This window comes from Homo sapiens, chromosome 6 (genome assembly GCF_000001405.40).
Source record: "Homo sapiens chromosome 6, GRCh38.p14 Primary Assembly".
Lineage (NCBI taxonomy): Eukaryota > Metazoa > Chordata > Mammalia > Primates > Hominidae > Homo > Homo sapiens.
This window is the reverse complement of record NC_000006.12, coordinates 57,205,749-57,227,273: the sequence shown is the minus strand read 5'-3', so window position 1 is coordinate 57,227,273 and position 21,525 is coordinate 57,205,749. Positions and strand designations below refer to the sequence as shown.

Genomic DNA, 21,525 nt, shown 5'->3' with positions numbered 1-21,525 from the left:
TGAACAAATGTTCCAACAGAAGTGTGAGGAAGAATATCACACAGACGTTTCCTTATTTACCATGAGCGAAGTTCTCAAAAGTCAGAGAGTTGTCTAGTCCAGCCCTTTCCATTAGAGAGGAGGTCTCTCAGTATACTAAGAGTATTTCAACAAAAGTAAATATATATATGAGAAAGACTTGGGCAGTAAAGAAAAAAAAAAGATTTTTATTTTCTAATTATTCTTTGTTAGTAAGGGCCCTAAATCTAGAAGTGTATATGCTGGAACACACTAGACCATAATACAAGAACAATCAAGGACAAAACAAAAAGGAATTTAGAATGAACAGATTATTCCCCGACTCACACTGTGAGGGGTTATAACTAGTCCCTTAGTGACCAATCTCAGCAAGGCAGTCATTCAAGAAACCTGCAAGTCACTCTTTACATTCCGTCTTTTTCCTACACCATAGCCAAATCCTATAGGTTCTACTTCCAAGATTAAAAACAAATGCACTTTTCTGTATCACCCCTGTAACCATCTCAGTCTAACCCTCCATCATCTCTTGCCTGAACCGGCCTTCCATTGCTCTCCCATTTTCCACTACTCTATGTTTTCCCTAGATAGCAGTCAGAGGAATTTTTTAAAACTGTCCAGTGGATCTCCTAGTCTGTGCACTAAAAAATCCTCCAATGGCTTCCCAATATACTTGAGATATAATCCAAATTACCTAATATGACCTGCAAGGTCTTCATGATCTGGCCCCTGCTTCCCTCACCACTGTTCTTTATTTTTTACATACCGCTTTCCACCTCACTCCTGCACACTGGCTCCCTTTCAATTATTCAAACCCAGTGAATTGTTTGCTGCCTCAGGCCATCGTACTTCCTGCTGTCTCTGCTTAAAGGCTTTTTCTGTCTATTCTTCACCAAACTCATTTATCTTTCAGATAACAGCTTAAAAATCACTGTATCAGAAAGGCCTTCCCTTGGTTCTCCAACATAAATTAGGGCTCCCTCTTACATGCTTCCATCATACCAGTTATTTACTTTCACATAATGTCTAAGGGTATGTAATCACTTATTTGTGTATATGTGTGCATATGTGTGTATTTGTATACTTTCTTTTTTGGTCTCCCTTAACACATTATAAGCTCCCAGAGGACACAAACCATCTGCCTTTTGTCTATTACTGAATACCCAATGTTCAGCACAGTCCTTGGCACAATATGTATTTTTTTTAATGGATAAATGACCTTGTAAGGTGGGTAACTCCTTACTATAGATGAGGATACTAAGATCCAAGGTTATTAAGCAACAGAAAAACTGAATCAGTACTCTAATGTCTGCCTAGAAAGTACTAGAAAAAATTTTTTTTCCAGCATGATCTGTTTGAATCTGAAGAACAGTAGATTATTATTGTCTAGCCAAATACTGTGATTTCTACTAGTTTTTTCCAGATGGCCACATATGCATTCATATGTATATGCAGACTTATATTCTAAGTGGTAAAATTTTCAAAGCTTTCTTTCTTGGAAGAAAATATTTTCTGATTTTTCTGTTTTTCTTTCTACTCAGCTACAATTCATGATCCTTGGACACTGTTCAGTTCATTAGAGTCAGACACAATGAAAGAACGAGCAAGGGAACAAATGGACATTTTTTGCTGGATCAGTGGAGGTACTAGATTCAAACAATCATTTAATGACTTAATAACTAACTTTTCAGAATGTTTTCCTTAAAATAATTTTGTGAAACTCATTTCTAGTCACTGCAGGTAAAATTTCTTTCAAAACCTTTTAGGTTAATTCTGTTGCTATTTCTACTATAGCACAACTACATGATTTAAAAGGCCAGGTTTCCATGCAGGCTTTCATTATTTCACTGCCTTCAGTGAGAGCATGAGAATCTCTGCTGTGTCCTTGAGAGCAGCCTCAAGTCAAATAAAAAGTAGACTTTAATTGCACTGAGCATGTCTGCAGGGAGGATAAACACTTTTTCTCTACTCTTGTAAGTTCAGTAGCAGAAGCCTGCAAATTAAATTGACAAATGACAGATAAACAGGAGAAAAGGTTTATTTCATATGCACATGGGGGGCCTCACAGAAAGGAAGTGAAAACCCCAAAAAGCAGTTAGGCCTAAGAGCTTATATACCATTTTTTTAAAAGGTGATAAATTGTGGAGAAGTGATAAGACAAAGGAAAAAGGGGTGGGACTTGTGAAGGTGGTAAATTGTGGCCGAGTAAACTATATGAGGGAAACTATTGGAAGACAAGGGTTATTTTGCAAGGTTTGCCATATGACTCAAGTTGGTGCTCTGGTGATAGGAATCTCCTCCTCCTAGTGTGGGATGGGGAGGAGGAACAACTTCACAAAGGGAAATTTATGTCCTGCTTTTAGGCAGAAATAGGAAAAGCAGAGTGTTTCTTCTGTTCTGCTGTTTCTTAATTGCCTTCAACTCCAAATAATGCTTGTGTCAAAGTGGCATGTTTTGGGGTGGCATATTCTGGATCTCCTTCAATGTCCAACAATCCCAAGGAAATGGAAAAGTGGGGAGGAAAGAAATGATTTTGGGGGAACCCCCTTTCAGGAAGTTTTTCTCAAATTTGGATCCCAGAAGTACTCCCTGAGACCCTCTAAGATTTTCTTTTTTTTTTTTCCCATTAAAAAGAAATTTGGCAAGATATACATAAAACATAAAATTTACCATTTTTAGCCATTTTTAAGTATAAAGTTCAAGAGCATCAAGTTTATTCACATCGTTGTGCAACCATCACCACCATCTATCTCCAGACTTTCTTCATCTTGCAAAGCTAGAACTGTAGACATAAAACAGTAACTCCCCATTCCCACCTGCCCTTCCTTTCCCACAACCACTTCCCACCCCCCAACTGTCTCTATGAATTTGACTACTCTATGTACCTTATATAAGTTGAATCATACAGCATTTGTCCTTTTGCGACTAGGCATAATGTCTTCAAGCTTCATCCATGCTATAACATGTGTCAGAATTTCCCTCTCTCTCTTTTATTTTTGAGACAGGATTTGCCCAGGCTGGTCTTGAACTCCTGGATTCAAGTGATCCTCCCATCTCAGCCTCCTAAGTAGCTGGGATTACAGGGATACCTCGCCACACCTGGGTCCCTCCTTTTTTAAGGCTGAATAATATTTTATTGCATGTATATACTACATTTTGTTCATCCATTCATCCATTGATGGACATTTGGGTTGCTTCCACCCTTTGGCTATTGTGAATAATGCTGCTATAAACATGGTTGTACAAATTTTTTTTTGAGTCCCTGTTTTCAATTCTTTTGAATATATACTCAGAAGTGGAATTATTTAATCATACGATAATTCTATTTTTAATGTTCTGATGAACCATACAATTTTCCATAGTGGCCGTACCATTTTACATTCCCACCAGCAGCACACAAAGGTTATAATTTTTCCACATCCTTGCCAACACTCATATTTATTTTCTGTTCTGCTTTGTTTATAATCATCATTTTAATGAGTGTGAAGTTGTATCTCATGGTTTTGAGTTGCATTTCCCTCATGATTAGTGACCTTGAGTCTCTTTTCATGTGCTCATCGGCCATTTGTATACCTTCTTTGGAGAAATGTCTATTCAAGTCATTTGCCAACTTTTTAATTGTTTTTTTTCTTTTCTCAGAAAGGGCATCAGTACGTTACTCAAGTTTAAGAGATACTGCCAACCAAATCCTAGAGATAAATCTGTTAGCTACTTGATATTAAATTTCTTACAAATACTATTGCTATTATAGGTAAAATAATCTCCACTAATTTTTAAAATTATTAAGTGTGAATTATAATTCACATACAGAAAAATGTGCATAAGAGTACAGCTTGAATTTTCACAAATGGACACGCATTTATAACTAGCGCCAAAATCAACGGAGAGAACCTCACTAGAAGGAAGCCCCTCTTCCAGTTGCTAACTGGAAGCCCCTCTTCTAGTCGCTAACTCCTTCCAGTCACTATCCCCTGCCCACCAAGGTAACCATTATGCTAACTTTGAGCCTCTTAGTTCTTCTGTTTTTGTAGTTTATAGAAATGGACTTATGCCATGTGTACTTTTGTTGTCTTTTTATGCTGGGCATTAGGTTTCCCCAGTTGATTCACGTTATTGCCTGTAATTGCAGATGCTTTTTTGCGTTGCTGTATAGTGTTTCATTATATGAACTCTGTGTAATTTCATTAATTTATTCTATTGTTGATGGTCTTTTGGGTTATTCTCATTAAGGAATTATTACAATAAATGCAGCTACGAACATTCTGATACCTGCCTGTCCGTGCACCCTAAGTATTCGTTTCTCTTTGCTCTATATGCAGGCGTGGAACTGCGGGGCCATAGGGTATGCACCTTTTGCAGACAGTCCCAAACTGTTTTTCAAAGGAGTTGTTCCAGTTTACATTCCAGCAGCAAAGTAGAAGAATGCAGTTACTCTACATCCTGGCCAACACTTGGTATTTTCCATCTTTTTTTTCTATTCTATTTTATTTTGAAATATAAAAACAACTGAAGCAAAGTTGAGATTGCTTTTGCGGAACCTTTTCGTTTTTGGTTCGCTTCTCTGAATAATTAACCATCTCAGGCTTCTATTTTGTCCTGCAGGCTGTGTGAGTGCGTTTTCGACTTTGCTCGACATTTTTTTGCTCACTTGGCCACTTAAGATGTCATCTGGTCAAGAAAATAAGGTAGGTGTCCGAAGCGGGGCAAGCCCTTTGAGGACACTGGAAGTGTGATAACTCTGTAGGCGAAACTCATGCGGACCGTCATTGGCCGATTTCTCTTTTCTAGAGTTCACGATCTAGGAGATCCTGCTCGTCTCTGATCTCCCCACTGCCCTCCCGGGCTCCCTTGGAGGCGCCTGGAAAGCTGAGCCGCCGCCAGCCACCCGCCAGAACAGGGGCGGGGCAGGGCCGCGGGTCCGCACAGAGCATGCGCAGACGAAGCACGGCGCATGCTCCGCAGCGCGGCGGGTCCACAGATGAGGGGAGTCGAGACTCCCGCGCCCCACCACCCCCGGCGGAGCTGCTGCTGAGCCACTCAATCTGAGCCCTGGCTACTAATAAAGTTCGTTTAAAAATCATAATCATTCTTAAGAGAGCGAAAGAGGGTGCGAACTAGCCGCTCGGCCCCGCAGGGAGAGCTGGCGCGTCGGGAGGAGACAGCGGCGGCAGCGGTTGCGCCGCGACCAGGAGGAGCCGGTGGCGCCGGGCGGCGGGTCCGCGGCCGGTGGGGGACGGTGAGTAGCGGCTCGCGCTGCGGTGCAGCGGCGCTGCACTCACTCGCCCTCTCCAGGGGCTGGGGGTTCGTCCGGCTCCACTGGGGAAGACTCAGCTTCTCCCCGGGGTCCCGGGTTGTGCCTTACTCTCCGGAGTGGGCAGGGGTATCGAGGGCAGGGGCCTCCCGGCCCGGCTCCCCCATCCCCCGGTTCGGACCGCCGAGCGCCGGCTCTCCCCTCCCTGAGCACCGATCCCAAGTTCCAGCTAGAGAAGGTGGGCGGCAGCGCCAGCCCGGCGCCCCCTCCCAGCTCCCAGCGGTGGGTACCTGGAATTGCCTGGTGGGCGGGAAAGAGGGGTGGAGCGAGGGCGGCGCTGCGTCCCCAGTCTGGCCGAACGTTCGGCTTTTTGCCTGCCCCAAGTCCCGACTGGGGAAGGGGCGACCCGGGCTGGGCCAGACACCAGTAAGGGCGTGAAGTGCTCAGGTTAGGTTTGATGGCGAAGAGAGTCCTCAGCTCCACCCTGGCATTTAGACTCCTCCCTGCAGTGCGACCACTCTTTACCCGCGACCCCACCCTTCCCTAGTTTCTTGTTCATAGAGTGCTGGAATATGAATGAGCCAAATTGTGCTGTTCCATTGACACTGGTTGCTACAGAATTAACTTTACTCGGAGATCCGAGGAGCCATCGGCAGTTCCCAGGAGTAAGAACCTGAGAGCGTGTGAGAGTAAGAACTTCATTATCAGGAGCTAGTGAAGTGGCAGTAGGGTCTGAAAAGGGCTGTTAACTTCTCTAGGTTTTTATGTATCTCCTAACATCTAGGTAATTTCATTGACCCTAAGAAGTTTTTCAGTATTTTTACAAATATAACCTGTACTTCTACTTAAATAAAGGCTGTTATGAGAAAACAACCTTTTGATTAGTGAGTTAACTCACCCTTTGCTTCTCTAATTTATTAGACCGCATTAGCAAAATGTTAAAAGTTTTGGGGAAAGGGTATTTATATAAAGTATTATTGTCGAGGTTTTTAATTGTACTCAGAAGTATGCTTATTTCTAGGAACGTAATTGTTTTGATCTAGTGCTTTAAGTCTATAGTTTCTGAAAAGCAAGAGTCCGACTGCCTGTTAAAATTTAATTTGGCTTTTTTCTTTAAATTTATTTTAAGGAAATTAATTTATTATTTTAAAAAGTGTATGGTAAAATTGATTTTTTTTCGATGTACAGTTCTGCGAATTTTAGACTCATGTAACCACCACTACAGTAAGGATGTAGAACAAATCTATCGCTCCCCCGCCACAGAAAAAAAACCTAATGTGATCCCATTATATCATACTCCTTACCCCTGGCAATTACTAATCTTTTCTAGAAATGAAATCATAACAGTTAGTAATCTTTCGATGTTAGCTTTTTTTCACTCAGCATAATGCCTTTAAGATTTCTCCAAGTTGTTTCATGTATGGATAATTTCTTTTTTTATTGCTGAGTACTATTTTATTATGTGGATATGCCACAGTCTGTTTCAACATCTGCCCATGGAAGGACATTGAGGTTGTTTTCAGTTTTCTGTGATTATGAATCAATCTGCTATAAATACCATGTACAGGTTTTTGCATGGACATGTTTTCATTTCTCTAGGGTATTGCTAGGAGTGGATTGCAGGGTCATATGGTAAATGTATGTTTAACTTTTAAAAAACTGTTAAACTGTTTTCTGGAGTATCTGTGTCATTTTGCATTCCCACAAGCAACATGTGAGAGTTCTAGTTGCTCCACATACTCCCAGCATTTGATAGTGTCAGTTTTTTTAAATTTAGCCATTCTAATAGGTGTGTAGTGGTATCTCCTTGTGGTTTTAATGTGCCTTTAACTAATGGCTAAAGATGTACATGTTTTCATGTGTTCATTTGCCACATGGAGTCGTTGGTGAGGTATCTGGCAAAGTCTCTTGCCCATTTTTAAATTGGGCTGTTTTCTTATGTTGAGTTTTGAAGGCTCTTTATATGTTTTGGATACAAATTATATGTTAGATACGTGTTTTTCAGGTATTTTCTTCCAGTCTGTCTTTCTCTTCATTCTAACAGTGTCTTTCAGACAGCAATGTTTTTAATTTTGGTGAAGTCCAGTATCAGTTTTTCCTTTTATGGGTCATCTGGTGTCATGTCTAAAAACTCTGCCTAACAGGTCAAGATTTTCTCCTTCTAAAAATTGTTTTATAAAAGTGTTCCATTTAGATCTGTGATCCATTTGAGTTAATTGTATAAGGTGTGAAGGTTTACTTTTTTGCATATGGATGTCCAGTTGTTCCGTCACTATTTGTTGAAAAGACTGTCTTCTCTCCATTGAATTGCTTTTGCACCTTTGTTAAAAATCAATTGTCTTTATTTGTGAGGGTCTATTTTGGGCCTGTTTTGTTCCACTGATTTACTTAGCTTTCCCTTTGCCAGTATTACACTTTGTTAATTTAGCATTATAATGTCTTAAAACCAGGTAGTATAATTTCCTCCAGTTTTATTCTTTTTCAAAATTGTTTTAGCTATTCTGATTCTTTTACCTTTGTGTATAAAGTTTAGAATCAGCTTGTGGATACAGAAAAATTTGGCTGGTGCTTTGATTGAAATTGTATTACACCCGTAGATCAATTTAGGGAGAATTGCTGTTTACTTTGTTGAGTCTCCCAATCTATGAACATGATATGTCTTTCCATTTATTTAGGTCTTTGATTTGTTTAGTGTTTTGTAGTTTTCAGCATACAGATTGTGTACATGTTTTGTTACATTTATACCTAAGTATTTAATGTTTTTGGAGCTATTGTAAATCTCATTCTAAAAAATACTGGTTTCAAATTGTACATTGTTTGTACACAGAAATACAATTGAATTTTGTGTGTTGTACATATGTCCTCTGACTTTGCTAAACTCATTAGTTCAGGGTTTGGTTTTTGAATTTTTGGTGGATTCCATGGGTTTTTCTACAGAGATAATCATGTCATTTGTGAATAGAGAAAGTTTTAATTTTTTCCTAATCTGTGTTTTATTTTTGTTTCCTATTACAATGACTAGAACTTCATGTATGATGAATAGGAGTAGTGAGAATATATATCCTTACCTTGTTCCCAATGTGAGGGGAAAGCAGTCTGTCTTCCAGAATTGTTTTATGTTATAGATGCTTTTTTTTCCTTTTTTTTTTTTTTGGAGACAGAATCTCACTCTGTCACCCAGGCTGGAGTGCAGTGGCACACGATCTCAGCTCACTGCAACCTCTGCCTCCCGGGTTCAAGCAATTCTTGTGCCTCTGTCTCCTGAGTAGCTGGGATTACAGGCGAGCAACCCCACACCCAGTTAATTTTTTGTATTTTTGGTAGAGACACAGTTTCACCATGTTGTCCAGGCTGGTCTCGAACTCCTGACCTCAGTGATCAGCCTGACTTGGCCTCCCAAAGTGCTAGGATTACAGATGTGTGCCACTGTGCTCGGCCTATAGATGCCTTTTACCAGGTTGAAGAAGTCCCATTCTATTTCTAGTTTGCTCAGAGTTTTCTCACAAATGTTGAATTTTGTCAATATTTCTTCTGCATCAATTGATACTATGTTGTGTTTTTTTCCTTGAGTTTATTAATATGGTGGATTACATTGATTGTTTTTTGAGTATTTAACTAGCCTTGCATTCCCAGAATAAAGTCCACTTGGTTGCAGTGTATTGTGTTTTAAATATTGCTGAATTCAATTTATTAATACTTTGTTGAAGATTTTTACATCTTTGTTCAGAAGAGTTTGTCTAATTTTCTTTTTTGTAGTGTCTTTTTGTGGTATCAAGATAATGCTGGCTTCATAAAAAGAGTTGGGAAGTGTTTCCTCGTCTCTATTCTGGAGGAGATTGTGTACATTGGTGTTAATTTTTTAAATGTTTAGTAGGATTCTTCAGTGAAACTGCCTGATCCTGTAGATTTCTTTCTGAGTTTTTACATTACAAATTCAATTTCCTTCATAGTTATAGGGGTATTCAAATGGACCTATATTATATTGGGTGAATTATGGTCGTTTATACTTTTCAAAAATTTGGTTCATTTTGTCTGGGTTGTCACATTTATGTGTGTAGGGTTGTTACGTTATCCTTTTGAGTCTGCAGAGTCTATGTTGCTATCCCCTATTTTATTCCCGGTATTAGGTATTTGTATCCTCTCTCTTTTTTGTGTTAGTCTCACTAAAGTTTTATTAAATTTATTGATCTTCTCAAAAAGCCAGCTTTTTGTTTCATCAGTTTTTCTGTTTGCAATTTCATTGATTTCTGTTCTTCTTTTTTAGTATCTTCCTTTTTTTTTGCTTGCTTTGGGTTTATTTTGCTCTTCTTCTAGTTCTTGAGGTGAGTGCTTAGATTATTGAGTTGAAACTTTTTTCCTTTTCAAAGTAAGCATTTAGCGCTCTAAATTTTCGTATCTTAGGCTGGGCACGGTGGCTCACGCCTGTAGTCCCAGCACTTTGGGAGGCCACGGCGGGCGGATCACTTGAGCCAGGAGTTAGAGAACTGCCTGGCCAACATGGTGAAGTCCTGTCTCTACTAAAAATACAAAAATTAGCCCAGCATGGTGATGCATGCGTGTAGTCCCACCTACTCGGGAGGCTGAGGCAGGATTGTTTGAACATGGGAGGGGGAGGTTGCGGTGAGCCGAGATCAGGCCACTGCACTCCAGCCTGGACTACTGAGTGAGACTTTGTCTCAAAAATAATAACAATAAAATAAAATATATTTTCCCATTTCAGCACTAATTTAGCTGTGCCCCACAAAGTTTCACATGTATTTTCACTTTCAGTTAATTTTGTTTTTTTTTTTTTTTGCTTTCCTTGTAACTACTACTTTGAATCCTGGATTATTTGAAAAGTGTGTGCTTTTAGTTTCTGTCTGGAGATTTCCCTGTTTTATCTTTCTGTTATTGATTTCTAGTTTGATTCCATTGTGATCAGTGAACATATTCTGTATGATTTCCATTATTTTAAGTGTGTTTGAGACAGGAGGTCAGTAGATCTGGTTCCACAAGATACAGGTCTTAAAAGATCCCCACTGACAAAACAGGATGCAGTAAAGAAGCTGGCCAAAACCAAGATGGTCATGCAAGTGACCTCTGGTTGTCCTCACTGCTCATTATATGCTAATTATAATACATTAGCATACTAAAGGTTACTGCCATCAGCACCGTGACAATTTATAAATGCCGCGGCAACGTCTGGAAGTTACCTTATATCATCTGAAACAGGGAGGAACCCTCAGTTCTGGGAATTCCCCCATCCCTTTCCCAGAAAAGTCAAGAATAATCCACCCCTTGTATAGCATATAATAAAAAAAAAACCATAAAAATAACCAACCACCAGCCCTCAGGGCCGCTCTGTCTATGGAGCAGCCACTCTTTTATTCCTTTACTTTCTTAATAAACTTGCTTTCATGTCACTCTGTCGGCTCACCCTTGAATTCCTTCTGCACAAAGCCAAAAACCCACGTGGCCTCCTGGGCTGAACTCCAGTTTTGGGGTTTGCCCTGTGACATGTTGATGTTTGTTTTATGGCCCAGAATATGTTCTATCTGGGTACTTGAAAGGAGGTATATTGTGCTGTTGTATAGACAGTTCTATAAATATCAATTAAATTCTGATTTTATTGTGTTTTTAGAATTCCATTTTGATTTATCTGTGTGTTTTTGAGAGTACCTGCTTGTATTATTGTTTTAGTGGTTGTTCTTGGTATTACATTATATATATAGTCATGCATTGCTTAATGATGGGGATGCACATTATGGTTTTGTCATTGTGTGAACATACTAAAATGTACTTACACAGACCTAGATGGTATAGCCTACTACACATCTAGGCTGTATGCTATTAGAGCTTATTGCTCCTAAGCCACAAACCTGTACGCTGTTACTGTATTGAATACTGTAGGTACTTGTAACACATTGGTAAATATTTGTGTATCTAAACATATTTAAACACAGAAAAGGCATAGTAAACATATGGCATTGTAATTTTAAAGGACCACTGTTATATATGCAATCCATCATTGACCGAAATGTTGTTATGTGGTGCATGACTGTATATGTGATTTATCCCCATAATTTATCACTGCAGTCAATATTTTACAAATTCAAGTGAAGTGTGGAACCCGTACCTCCCTTTATAGTCCTTTATCCTTCCCCATTTATAATTGTCTTAAATATTTTTCCTACATATATTGAACACCACATTGGACAGTTTTATAATTTTTTTTTCAACTATCAAACATAGTTTAGAACACTCAAGAGAAGGGAAGTCTGTTGTATTTAACAATATTTTTGCTCTTACCATGTTCTTTCTTTTGTTCTGACACTCCAAGTTCTTCTTTTAAAAAATTATTTCTTTTCCACTGAGAACTTCCATTAGCTGTTCTTTTGCATTGGTCTGCTGTCAACAAATGCTCTTAGTTTTCCCTCATCAGAGATTACCTTGATTTCCTTTTCATTCCTAGAGGATATTTTTGTTGGATATATAATTTTGAGTTGACAGTTCTTTTCTTTCAACACTCAAAAAATGATGTGCCACTTCCTTCTGGCCTCCATGGTTTCTGAGGAGAAATTCACTGTCGTTCAAATTACTTTTCCCCATCCTTTTTCTCTGGCTGCTTTCAAAATGTTTTGTCTTTAGTTTTCAGAAGTTTGACTTTGATTTGTTTAGGTCTAGATTTTGACTGGTTTATCCTGTTTGGGATTTACTCAGCTTCTTGAATCTGTAGCTTTGTCTTTTTCCATATTTGGGAAATTTTCAGTCATTATTTCTTCAAGTCCTTTTTTAGCTCTATCTTCTTTCTCCTCTCCTCCTGGAACTCCAATGACAGAAATATCTGATTTTTTTGTGGTTTAGTTCCACAGGTCTTGAAGGCTCTGTCCTTTATTTCAGCCTGTTTGCGTGGCTCAGATTGTATGTTCAAGTTCACTAATTCTTTCCTCCGTCCTCTCTATTCTGCCGTTGAACATATCATTTAGTTTTTTAAATTATGGTTATTATAATTTTCAGTTCTACTTTCCATTTGGTACTTCTTTATATCTTCTGTTTATTTTTGAGACTCTTTATTTTTTACATTCGTTTAAGTATATCCATAATTGCTCATTGACTGCCAGTTAACTTTTTATTTTTGAAATCCTTATTACATGAATCTAATGTCTGTCATCTCATTGCTAGTGTCTATTGATTGTCTTTTGCATTTAAGATTTTCCTGGTTCTTGGTGTGCTGAGTGATTTTCGATGAAATCAGGACACTGGGAGTGTTATGTTGTGATTCTCTGGTCTCATTACATTCTCTTTTAGCTTGATTCTCTTCCTTTGATGTGCTCCAAAAACAGGAAGGGTGGGGCACTACCTCTTTACTACCAGGTGAGGATAAAAACTCCAGGTTTCCTGCTTGTCTTCCATTGAAACAGAGTGGGCTGGGCGCAGTGGCTCGTGCCTGTAATCTCAGCACTTTGGGAGGCCAAGGCAGGTGGATCACTTGAGCCCAGGAGTTTGAGACCAGCCTGGCCAAAATGGCAAAACCCTGTCTCTACAAAAAAATGCAAAAACTAGCCAGGCGTGGTGGTGTGCGCCTGTAGTCCCAGCTGAGGTGGGATGATTGCTTGAGCCCAGGAAGTTGAGGCTGCAGTGAGCTGTGTTCACCCCACTGCACTCCAGCCTGGAATGTAGAATGAGACACTGTCTAAAAAAAAAGAAAGAAACTGAGAATGGGAAGAGCTCCTCTTACTACTGGTCATGATGACTCTCTACTGGGGGCCACTGATACCACCCTGGCTGGGAAGAGGCTGACCCACTGACACTGCAAAGAGTCAGTAGATGGCCTTATTACCTGTGAGAGATAGTGTAAGTCCTGACTTTCTAGTAGGCTTCATCTGACACCACCCCAGCAAAAAAGTAGAGGTGAAAAGGGGTAGGGATGACTGAATTGGTGGATGGGGTGGGAGTTCAGGCTCCCACATGGTCTCTAGGGATGCCTTGGTGGTGGTTGGGCAGGGGTGGGGGGTGCCTTCATTTCTCCCCAGTGAGGATGCAAGTCCTCCCCAGTCCTCCCCAGTTGGTCTTTTCTGACACCACCCCATAGAGGGAGTTGGGGTGCATCAATATAGCCCTCACAAGGGTATAGGTGTTTTCTATCTTTCTGCTTGCTAGGCTGCCCCTTTCCTGGTCCTTTGACTCAAGAGAGTAGGCTTTTATGTTTTTTTGTTGTTGGTGGTGATATTTCCTGGTTACTAGCTTCTCTATAATCCAGTCTGGGATATATGAGGTAAAAAGAACTCAAGGAAAACTCATTACCATGTTGTGCTTTGTGTCCTGTGGTACCTTTGCACTTTTCAATGTCTAATGTTTGTTTATATATAGTATCCAAAATTTTTAGTTATACTTAGAGGAAGGAATAGGGAAAAATGTGTATCATTTCAGAAGCAAAAGTGTCTGAAGTATATATCTTTAAAAGGATAAAATGTGATAAGATTTTTGTTGTTGCCTTTTTTTGAACATAACAGTCTTCTTGGGTGAAGAATTGTTTAGGTAGAGAAAGGAAGTTGCTTTCTAGGAACTGAACCAGTGTGAGATACAGCTGGATGAACAAGGGTCAGATCCTGGTCAGAATTTTATATTTGACCGTGTGTCCTAAAGACTACATCTTGTGTAGGGTAATAGGATGATGATACTTGATGTCCAGATTGTACCCTAGACCAGGGGTCCCCAACTCCCAGGCCGTGGACTGGTACCGTTCTGTGGCCTGTTAGGAACTGGGCCACACAGCAGGAGGTGAGTGGCTGCGAGCATTACCGCCTGAGCTCCGCCTCCTGTCAAATCAGCAGCAGCATTAGATTCTCATAGGAGCCCAAACTCTATTGAGAACTGCACATGTGAGGGATCTAGGTTGCAGCACTCCTTATATCCTTATGAGAATCTAACTAATGCCTGATGATTTGAGGTAGAACAGTTTTATCCCCAAACCGTCCCTCCACTGCCCCCCACCAACCTCCCATCTGTGGATGTTGTCTTCCACCAAAGCAAGTCCCTGGTGCCAAAATGGTTGGGAACCACTGCCCTAGACCATCTGATCGTATACTCAGAGGGCAAGATGCAGGCATCAGGCATCAGGTTTTTTGTTTGTTTGTTTGTTTTTTAGACAGGGCCTCGCTCTGTCACCCAAGCTGAAGTGCACTGGTACAGTCATGGCTCACTGCGGCCTTGAACTCCTGGGCTCAAACAATCCTGCCTTAGCTTCCCGAGTAGCTGGGACTACAGGCTCACGCCACCATGCCTGGCCAATTTTTTTTTTTTTTTTTTTGGTAGAGACAGGGACTCACATGGTGCCCAGGCTGGTCTTGAACCCCTGGCCTCAAGCAATCCTCCTGCCTCAGCCTCCCAAAGCACTGGGATTATAGGTGTGAGCCACTGCCCCCAGCCAAGTATTTTTTAAAGTTATCTAGATGATCCCAGTGTATAGCCAAAATTGAGAATCACTAGCATAGGATATTGGCTTTGACACTTACCTGATTGTAAAATCACTTGGGATGTATATCCATTTGAGTTCTCCAGGAAGTAAGTATCAAGATGGAACTAAAAGTGCAAGAGATTTATTGGGGAAAATGCCTGAGAAGGATAAAGAGGCTGCAATGCTAGTTTTTTATACTTGTGAAAGGATAAAGAAAGATGGGGTGGAAAGAGCTCCAGACTGCAGTGCATTTCTGAAAAAATCTCAGCTAGTCTGATGGGGAGCCCCAGACCAAAGAGGATCCATGTTGTGCATAATTGTCCCAACTCAAGTGGCACTGCCTGTTTAGTCTTTACCCGGGGAGAATGCGGCCTCAACAGGAGTGGACAGTGCAGTGGATCCTGAAGGTGAGGTAGCAGAGACTGCCAGGTAGCAGCTCATGAAGGGAGAGCTAAACAGCACCTTTTATGCTTGTTTTATAAACCAGATTCCAAGGCTTCCTGTGAAATTTCTGATAAATTATGCCTGAGGCAGAGACCCAGAACTGTACTTTAACAAGTACTTTTAGGTGATTCTTATGATCACTCAGGTTTGTAAAGTACCAGAGACAATTGCTGAGACTATTAGGGACAAAGAAAGGAATGTTCACATTTTGGACTCCCTTGGTGTAGTGGTTGTATAGATGGATTTTCAGTTAAAGTAGTTGAAATATAATAGCTAAAGGAGCAGTAGCCTAACTAGTAATTTTAAGAAGAAACATGAAGAAATTGACTTTCTGTTCTTTTCATTCTTAAAATGCAAAGTGCCCATTCTATTGCTTTCACTGTATGTGTAACTATAAAGGTTTAAAACTAAAGCAAGAATGTGTGGTGTAAGATATTTATTTGTACAGGATTCATTGTAAACCAAACACTAAATCATTATAACTAAGAGTCCAATGCTGACACATGGTCGTACACTATTATACAAAACCTTCTTTGGGGTGCTTTTTTAGGGACATTATTACCTGTGAGGTTGAAAAGCAATTTCTACAGATTTTGAATTTGTTGCCTATTTGGTGATACACTATGGAGGATTTACAATTTTTTTTTATTTTATTTTAATTTTTTTTAGAGACAGCATCTTGTTCTATCACCTAGGCTGGAGTACAGTGGCGTGACCATAGCTCACTGCAGCTTCAGACCCTTGGGCTCAAGGGATCCTCCCACCTCAGCCTCTTGTGTAGCTGGGACGACAGGCATGCACCACTACACTCGGCTAATTTATTTTATTTTATTTTTTTTAGTGGCAACTGGGTCTCTATATGTTGCCCAGGCTAGTCTCAAACTCCTGGCTTCAAGCGATCCTCTTGCCTCAGCCTCCCAAAATGCTGGGATTATAGGCATGAGCCACCACACCTGCCCTATTTGCATGTACATAATGAGATGTCTTGGGGACAGGACCCGAGTCTAAACAGGAAATTCATTTATGTCTCATACATGCCTTATACACATAGCCTCAAAGTAATTTTATACAGTACTTTTAGTATTTTTGTGCATGAAACAAAGTTTTGACTGCTTTGACTGTGACCTATCACATGTCAGGTATGGAATTTTTCCCTTATGGCATCATGTCAGTGCTTAAAACATTTCAGATTTTGCCACATTTCAGACTTCAGATTTTTGGATCAGGAATGCTTAACTAAATTCTGAATGCATAACTTTCACTATGCTAAGTGCTTTATGTGTATCATTGATCAATAACCGTATGAGATGGATATTATTGCCAGGAAACAGAAGCCTGAAGAAGTTAAGCAACGTGTTCACTAAGAGCACAGAACTAGTAAGTGGCACCTTTAAATAATCAGGCATCAAATCTAATGATCCTAGTCATCATCTCTATGAAAGTAGATCTAGGTATTTATTGATATATGAATGTCATGCATTGCGCTATTGATGAGGATTCATTCAAAAATGAATTGTTATTGCTGTACCTTTCAAAGAGTTTACATTATCTAAAGAGAGTGGGAGGGACCTCAGTTATGAAAACACATCCTTGCAATGCAATGTGATAATTTCTTGATAAAACAATTAGTTTATTTTGTACATTTTTGTGTTATGAAAAAATAATTTCATTTTAAACCACAGATTTGAGAGGGAAGATCTGATCTCCTAGAATTAGAGTTGGTACAGAAACCATTTCAGCTCCAAAAATGTTGGAGGAAGATATGGAAGTCGCCATAAAGATGGTGGTTGTAGGGAATGGAGCAGTTGGAAAATCAAGTATGATTCAGCGATATTGCAAAGGCATTTTTACAAAAGACTACAAGAAAACCATTGGAGTTGATTTTTTGGAGCGACAAATTCAGTAAGTACTTGGCCATTTTATTCCTTTGGCTTTGATTTGTGAACTATATCCAAGACTCATTGGAGTAATAGTTAACTGATTGCAGTGGATTTCGAGGTGTGGCAACTAGTGGCAATGCTCATGCGACAGTGATGGTGGTTTTCATGACATATGTAACTTTATCCTTTTTTTTTTCTTTCATCTCTTCCCTTCTTTCATTTTTTTTTCTTTTTCTACTCTCCACGTTTTTTTCTGTCTCATAGCTGTTTTATATTTATTGGTGACACCTTGGGCACGTCTTAAACACAAACTGATGCTGACTCCAGTGAGATTTCCAACTGCTATTTTCTTTGGAATGAAAGTTATATTATGGGCTCGTTTTTATTAGAATGTCTGTTCTCTTTTTGAAACTAGGCAAGACTGTATGGAAGTTAGAGAATTAATAGTTTGCTTTACTCTAAAGAAATAAGATAAAACAGATTTGGGAGGACAAAATTTGCCTATGAAAAGGAAATCCTGCTTTAGGAAATTCATTTGGATTCTAAAGCACATCAGAGTAATATTTTTTGTCATTAGTCCTGAGAACTTCTAAGTATATTTTAAATTGTAGCAGACAAACTAAAATGTGTTACCCAAATACATTTTAGTTTGTATTTCAAATTGTAATTTAAAATATTACAAACCTGGTTACTGGCCCAACTTTAACATCAAAGATAATTTTATCATTTTAAAGATTAATTTCTAGTCTGTATTCTATTACTTTCTTTTTAAAAGTATTTCCATATTTGCTTCCTCTCTTAGAACATATTTTAAGAGCAAGCATGTTAAGTCTTGATGATGTTTGCTTTTTATACTTATTACCTGAAACCAAATAAATATTTCAGTATGCAGTCAATCCTTATTGTTTATAGGTTCTGCATATGCAAATTCACCCACTTGGTAATATTTATTTGTAACCCCAGAATCAGTATTTGTAGTACATTTGTGGTCATTTGTGGACATATATAGAGCAGCAAAAAATTTAAGTTGCCCATCATGCACTTCCCAGCTGAGGTCATCAAACAAGTCTGCTTTCTTGTTTCAGTACCTCATACAGTAAACACATGTCCTTTTTGTGTTCTGTTTAATGCCACATTTTTTACATTTTGTGCTTTTTCTTGGTGATTTTGCTGTTTAAGAAGGCTCCTAAGTGTAGTGCTGCAGTGCTGTCTAGCATTCCTAAGTATAGGAAGGCTATGATGTGCCTTACAGAAAAAATAAATATGTTAGATAAGCTTTGTTCAGGCACGAGTTATAGTGCTGTTGGTCGTGAATTCAGTGTTAATGAATTAACAATATATATCAATCAGTAAGGTGTCTTTAAACAGAAACACATAAAACAAGGTTATGTACTGATCAGTTGATGAAAATGTAACCAGGGGTTCTCAAAAACCTAACCCTATGTTTCCCTTAGGAGCAGTGGTTCAGTATTTGCTAATTCAGTGTTCACATTGACATTATAGAACGTAACTACTGTGAATAATGAGAATTGACTATATGACAAAATAGAGTAAATTTTAAGTTTAAGGGCAACCAGTGAGCCAGGGAGGTAAATCGCTTTTTTTTTTTTTTTTTTTTTTTGAGACAGAGTCTCACTCTGTCTCCCAGGCTGGACTGCAGTGGTGCTCCACCTCCCAGGCTCAAGCGATTCTCCCATCTCAGCCTCCTGGGTAGCTGGGACTACAGGCATGCACCACCACACACAGCTAATTTTTCTATTTTTGGTAGAGACAGGGTTTCGCCATGTTGGCCAGGCTGGTACTGAACTCCTGGCCTCAAGTGATCCGCCCACTTTGGCCTCACAGATTGCTGGGATTACAGGCGTGAGCCACCGTGACTGGCGGTAAATTGCTTTTTTGCATTCTTATCCTCATTTTATCACAAAAGCACCAGAACCCATTAGAAAGATGTCGGGAAAGGAGAACAGGCACTGACCTAAGGAAATTCCCCTTCCCAAAACGTTAATCTTAGACCACCACTACGCTGTGACTGTGTCAAAGAAAAAAACATGGCAGATAAATCCAAATCATGTGGGAAGCTGTAGCTTTAGGGGAATGTTTTTCACTCTTTCACTGTTGATAATGATATCAACATCCGAAAGTACTCAGTTTTTCAGGGTGAAACTGACAGTGTACATGTGGTCTCTGACTCAGGAAGGTTTGACTTACAGTTTTTCAACTTTAGCATGGGTTTTTTGAGACATAGCCCCATCGTAAGTTGAGGAGCATAAGGATTTATAATAGTTCAGCTTATGAGTTTTTTGAATTTACAGTGGTTTAATGGGGTGTTAAATGCATTTTTGACTCCTAATTTTCAGCTTACAATGGGCTTACCAGGATGTAACCCCCAGTAGGTTTATTGGGACAACCCATCATAAGTCAAGGAGCATTTGTAGTTTTAATATCTTTGGATTTGAAAATGAAAAATATACACAAAGCTATATTACCAAAAACATTTTCCTTTACATATGAAATAAATTCATCTCTTGTTTTAGAGTTAATGATGAAGATGTCAGACTAATGTTATGGGACACTGCAGGTCAGGAGGAATTTGATGCAATTACAAAGGCCTACTATCGAGGTAAAACACAGGATTTATTTATTTATTTTGTTTGGGCATATTATTTTGGCTAAATAAATAATTTTGCTTTCTTTGTTTCCCGTATAAGGGCTTCTCTTGAAGAATAGTTAAAATAATTTCAAAGTATTTTTTAAAACCCCAGTTCATTATTCTTCTAAAGATCTTGTATAGTAGCAAATAATACCTGGTACTGTAGACAGTTTGTCTCTGCCTTAGAATTATATGACTCATGTAGGCATTCCCAGACCAAATCATTAAGAAACTCTTAAGTGCCTACTTTGACCCCAAGAAAATGACTGTATAGTCAGAGAGTGGAAGCTAACATACGAAAAAGTAAAGCCCTGGCAAATAAGATGGCATTTGTTACGACACATGAAGTCACATGGTAAAGCCTTTTCACTGCTGTAGGAGTTCAGAGAAGTATGAGATACCTGTGAAAGGAAGGAACCATGACTAAAGAATTTAAAGCTCTAAAATGTGGGCTAAAATTTCTTAAAAGGCTAAATTAAACTTCCAAATGGAACTTAAAAGTTTCCTTTAACATTTTCTTATAAAATTTTGCCCTTTTCTTTTGGAATTTAAAACACCATTTTCAGTGTTCCTGTAACTCAACTGCCAATAGTGATTAAAGTGAGAGAACACAGTAACAAAAGCTTGGTGGAATACCATGTGGCATTATAGCCTGTTGATGCCAAGTAAATATTAATTGATCATTCATATTGACAGGTATTTAATACTCTGCATTTCGCAGATGCTGTGGGAAATAAAAAGGCACAACTGATATACTGATTATCCCTTCTATGATGTCCCTCTTTTCTGAACTTTTCACCGTGTTGTAATTAAAACTTGTTTTCTAAAGACACAACTTCCTCTGCTGCCTTCTCTAAGGGAGGCTTTTTACCCATATCCCTGCATACTCACATTCCTCAAGACTTAAAGGCTGTTCGGCAGAGGTTGTCTTGTTTCTCACTGCTGCTTCCACACCATTCCTCCTCTTTTCTCCTTCCAAAACCTCGGCACCTTGAAAGTCCAGGTCATGAGACTTTTACCCACCACTAATCCCCCTGCTTGCTCTGGTCCATCAACTTCCTTTATGCCTCCTTTCTGATAACAGTGGCATCTGACTCAGTTTCTTCTCCATAATTGTTTGGATTACTTTTTGAAAATTCAGCCTGTTGCTCATTTCCTTGTTGTTTTCAAGGCCAACAATTGTTTCATTACCCCAAAATCTAAACCTCTATAGTCTCCTACTCCCTGACCACTACTGGTGGCTTGTGGCTTGCTAACTTTAATATCCAGACGCTGTCTTGAAACCATCGAGAGCTTCTCTGTTCATTGACCCTACCACTTTTTAAATATGACCTTCCACATGGCTTTACTTCTTTCCTTCTTCAGCTTAGTTTTTCTAGTCCTGTAAGCATTTGCTTGCAAGGACCTTTAACTCCCAGACCTGCGCTCTCTGCATAATACTTGCTCAGCAAAATGCCCAACCCAGTTAAACCCGACTATCTACCAATCTGCATCCGAGCACCTGAACCATATAGAGAATATCAGACAACCATTCAGACTGAACTTTGAAGCTAACATCACATAACCTTAATGAGTACATAGTGCTGCCAGGCACTCTCAGTGTTTTTTACTCAAGTCTCTGTCATTTTCCAAAAGAGCTCTTTTGTGTTTTCTCTTGCCTTAACTTTGGGAATCCCTTCCTCCTCTCCACTCTGCTGATTTCTTTGCTTCACTCTTCTTTGAGAAAATAGTCAGTGAAAACCATTTTATCCTTCCCACTACCAAATCACTTTCGTGGTTAAAACTCTTCAGCATCATATACACAGGACTTTACAACTGTGTTTCCCCTCGTCTGTCCAGCATCATCTGC

General features: G+C 39.4%; 2 protein-coding genes across 7 annotated transcripts in view, besides 1 other annotated feature; one reads left to right on the top strand and one right to left on the bottom strand.

Annotated features, from left to right (window-relative positions):
* The window catches only part of PRIM2 (DNA primase subunit 2), a 425,311-nt gene extending 419,577 nt beyond the window's left edge, over positions 1 to 5,734 (bottom strand). The window contains exon 1 of the mRNA XM_047418987.1: positions 5,557 to 5,734. The gene's annotated coding sequence lies outside the window, so the exon portion shown is untranslated. The remainder of the gene's footprint in view (positions 1 to 5,556) is intronic.
* Positions 4,967 to 21,525, top strand: part of RAB23 (RAB23, member RAS oncogene family) — a 35,316-nt gene continuing 18,757 nt past the window's right edge. Inside the window, exons 1-3 of one of the 6 annotated variants that reach the window (NM_001278666.2) lie at positions 4,967 to 5,079; positions 16,829 to 17,048; positions 19,561 to 19,646. In NM_001278666.2, the coding sequence (NP_001265595.1) occupies positions 16,894 to 17,048; positions 19,561 to 19,646 (241 nt within the window). In that variant the 5' untranslated portion in view covers positions 4,967 to 5,079; positions 16,829 to 16,893. Of the gene's footprint in view, positions 5,549 to 5,811; positions 5,956 to 16,828; positions 17,049 to 19,560; positions 19,647 to 21,525 lie in introns of those variants that run through there. The other 5 variants (NM_001278667.2, NM_016277.5, NM_001278668.2 and 2 more) reach the window with 5 other exon arrangements.
* Positions 5,264 to 5,613: a silencer, noted in NCBI's record as "silent region_17304". NCBI's record gives its function as "represses an Ori minimal core promoter by ATAC-STARR-seq in GM12878 lymphoblastoid cells {active_cell/tissue: GM12878}" and the evidence as "EXISTENCE:reporter gene assay evidence [ECO:0000049][PMID:35858748]".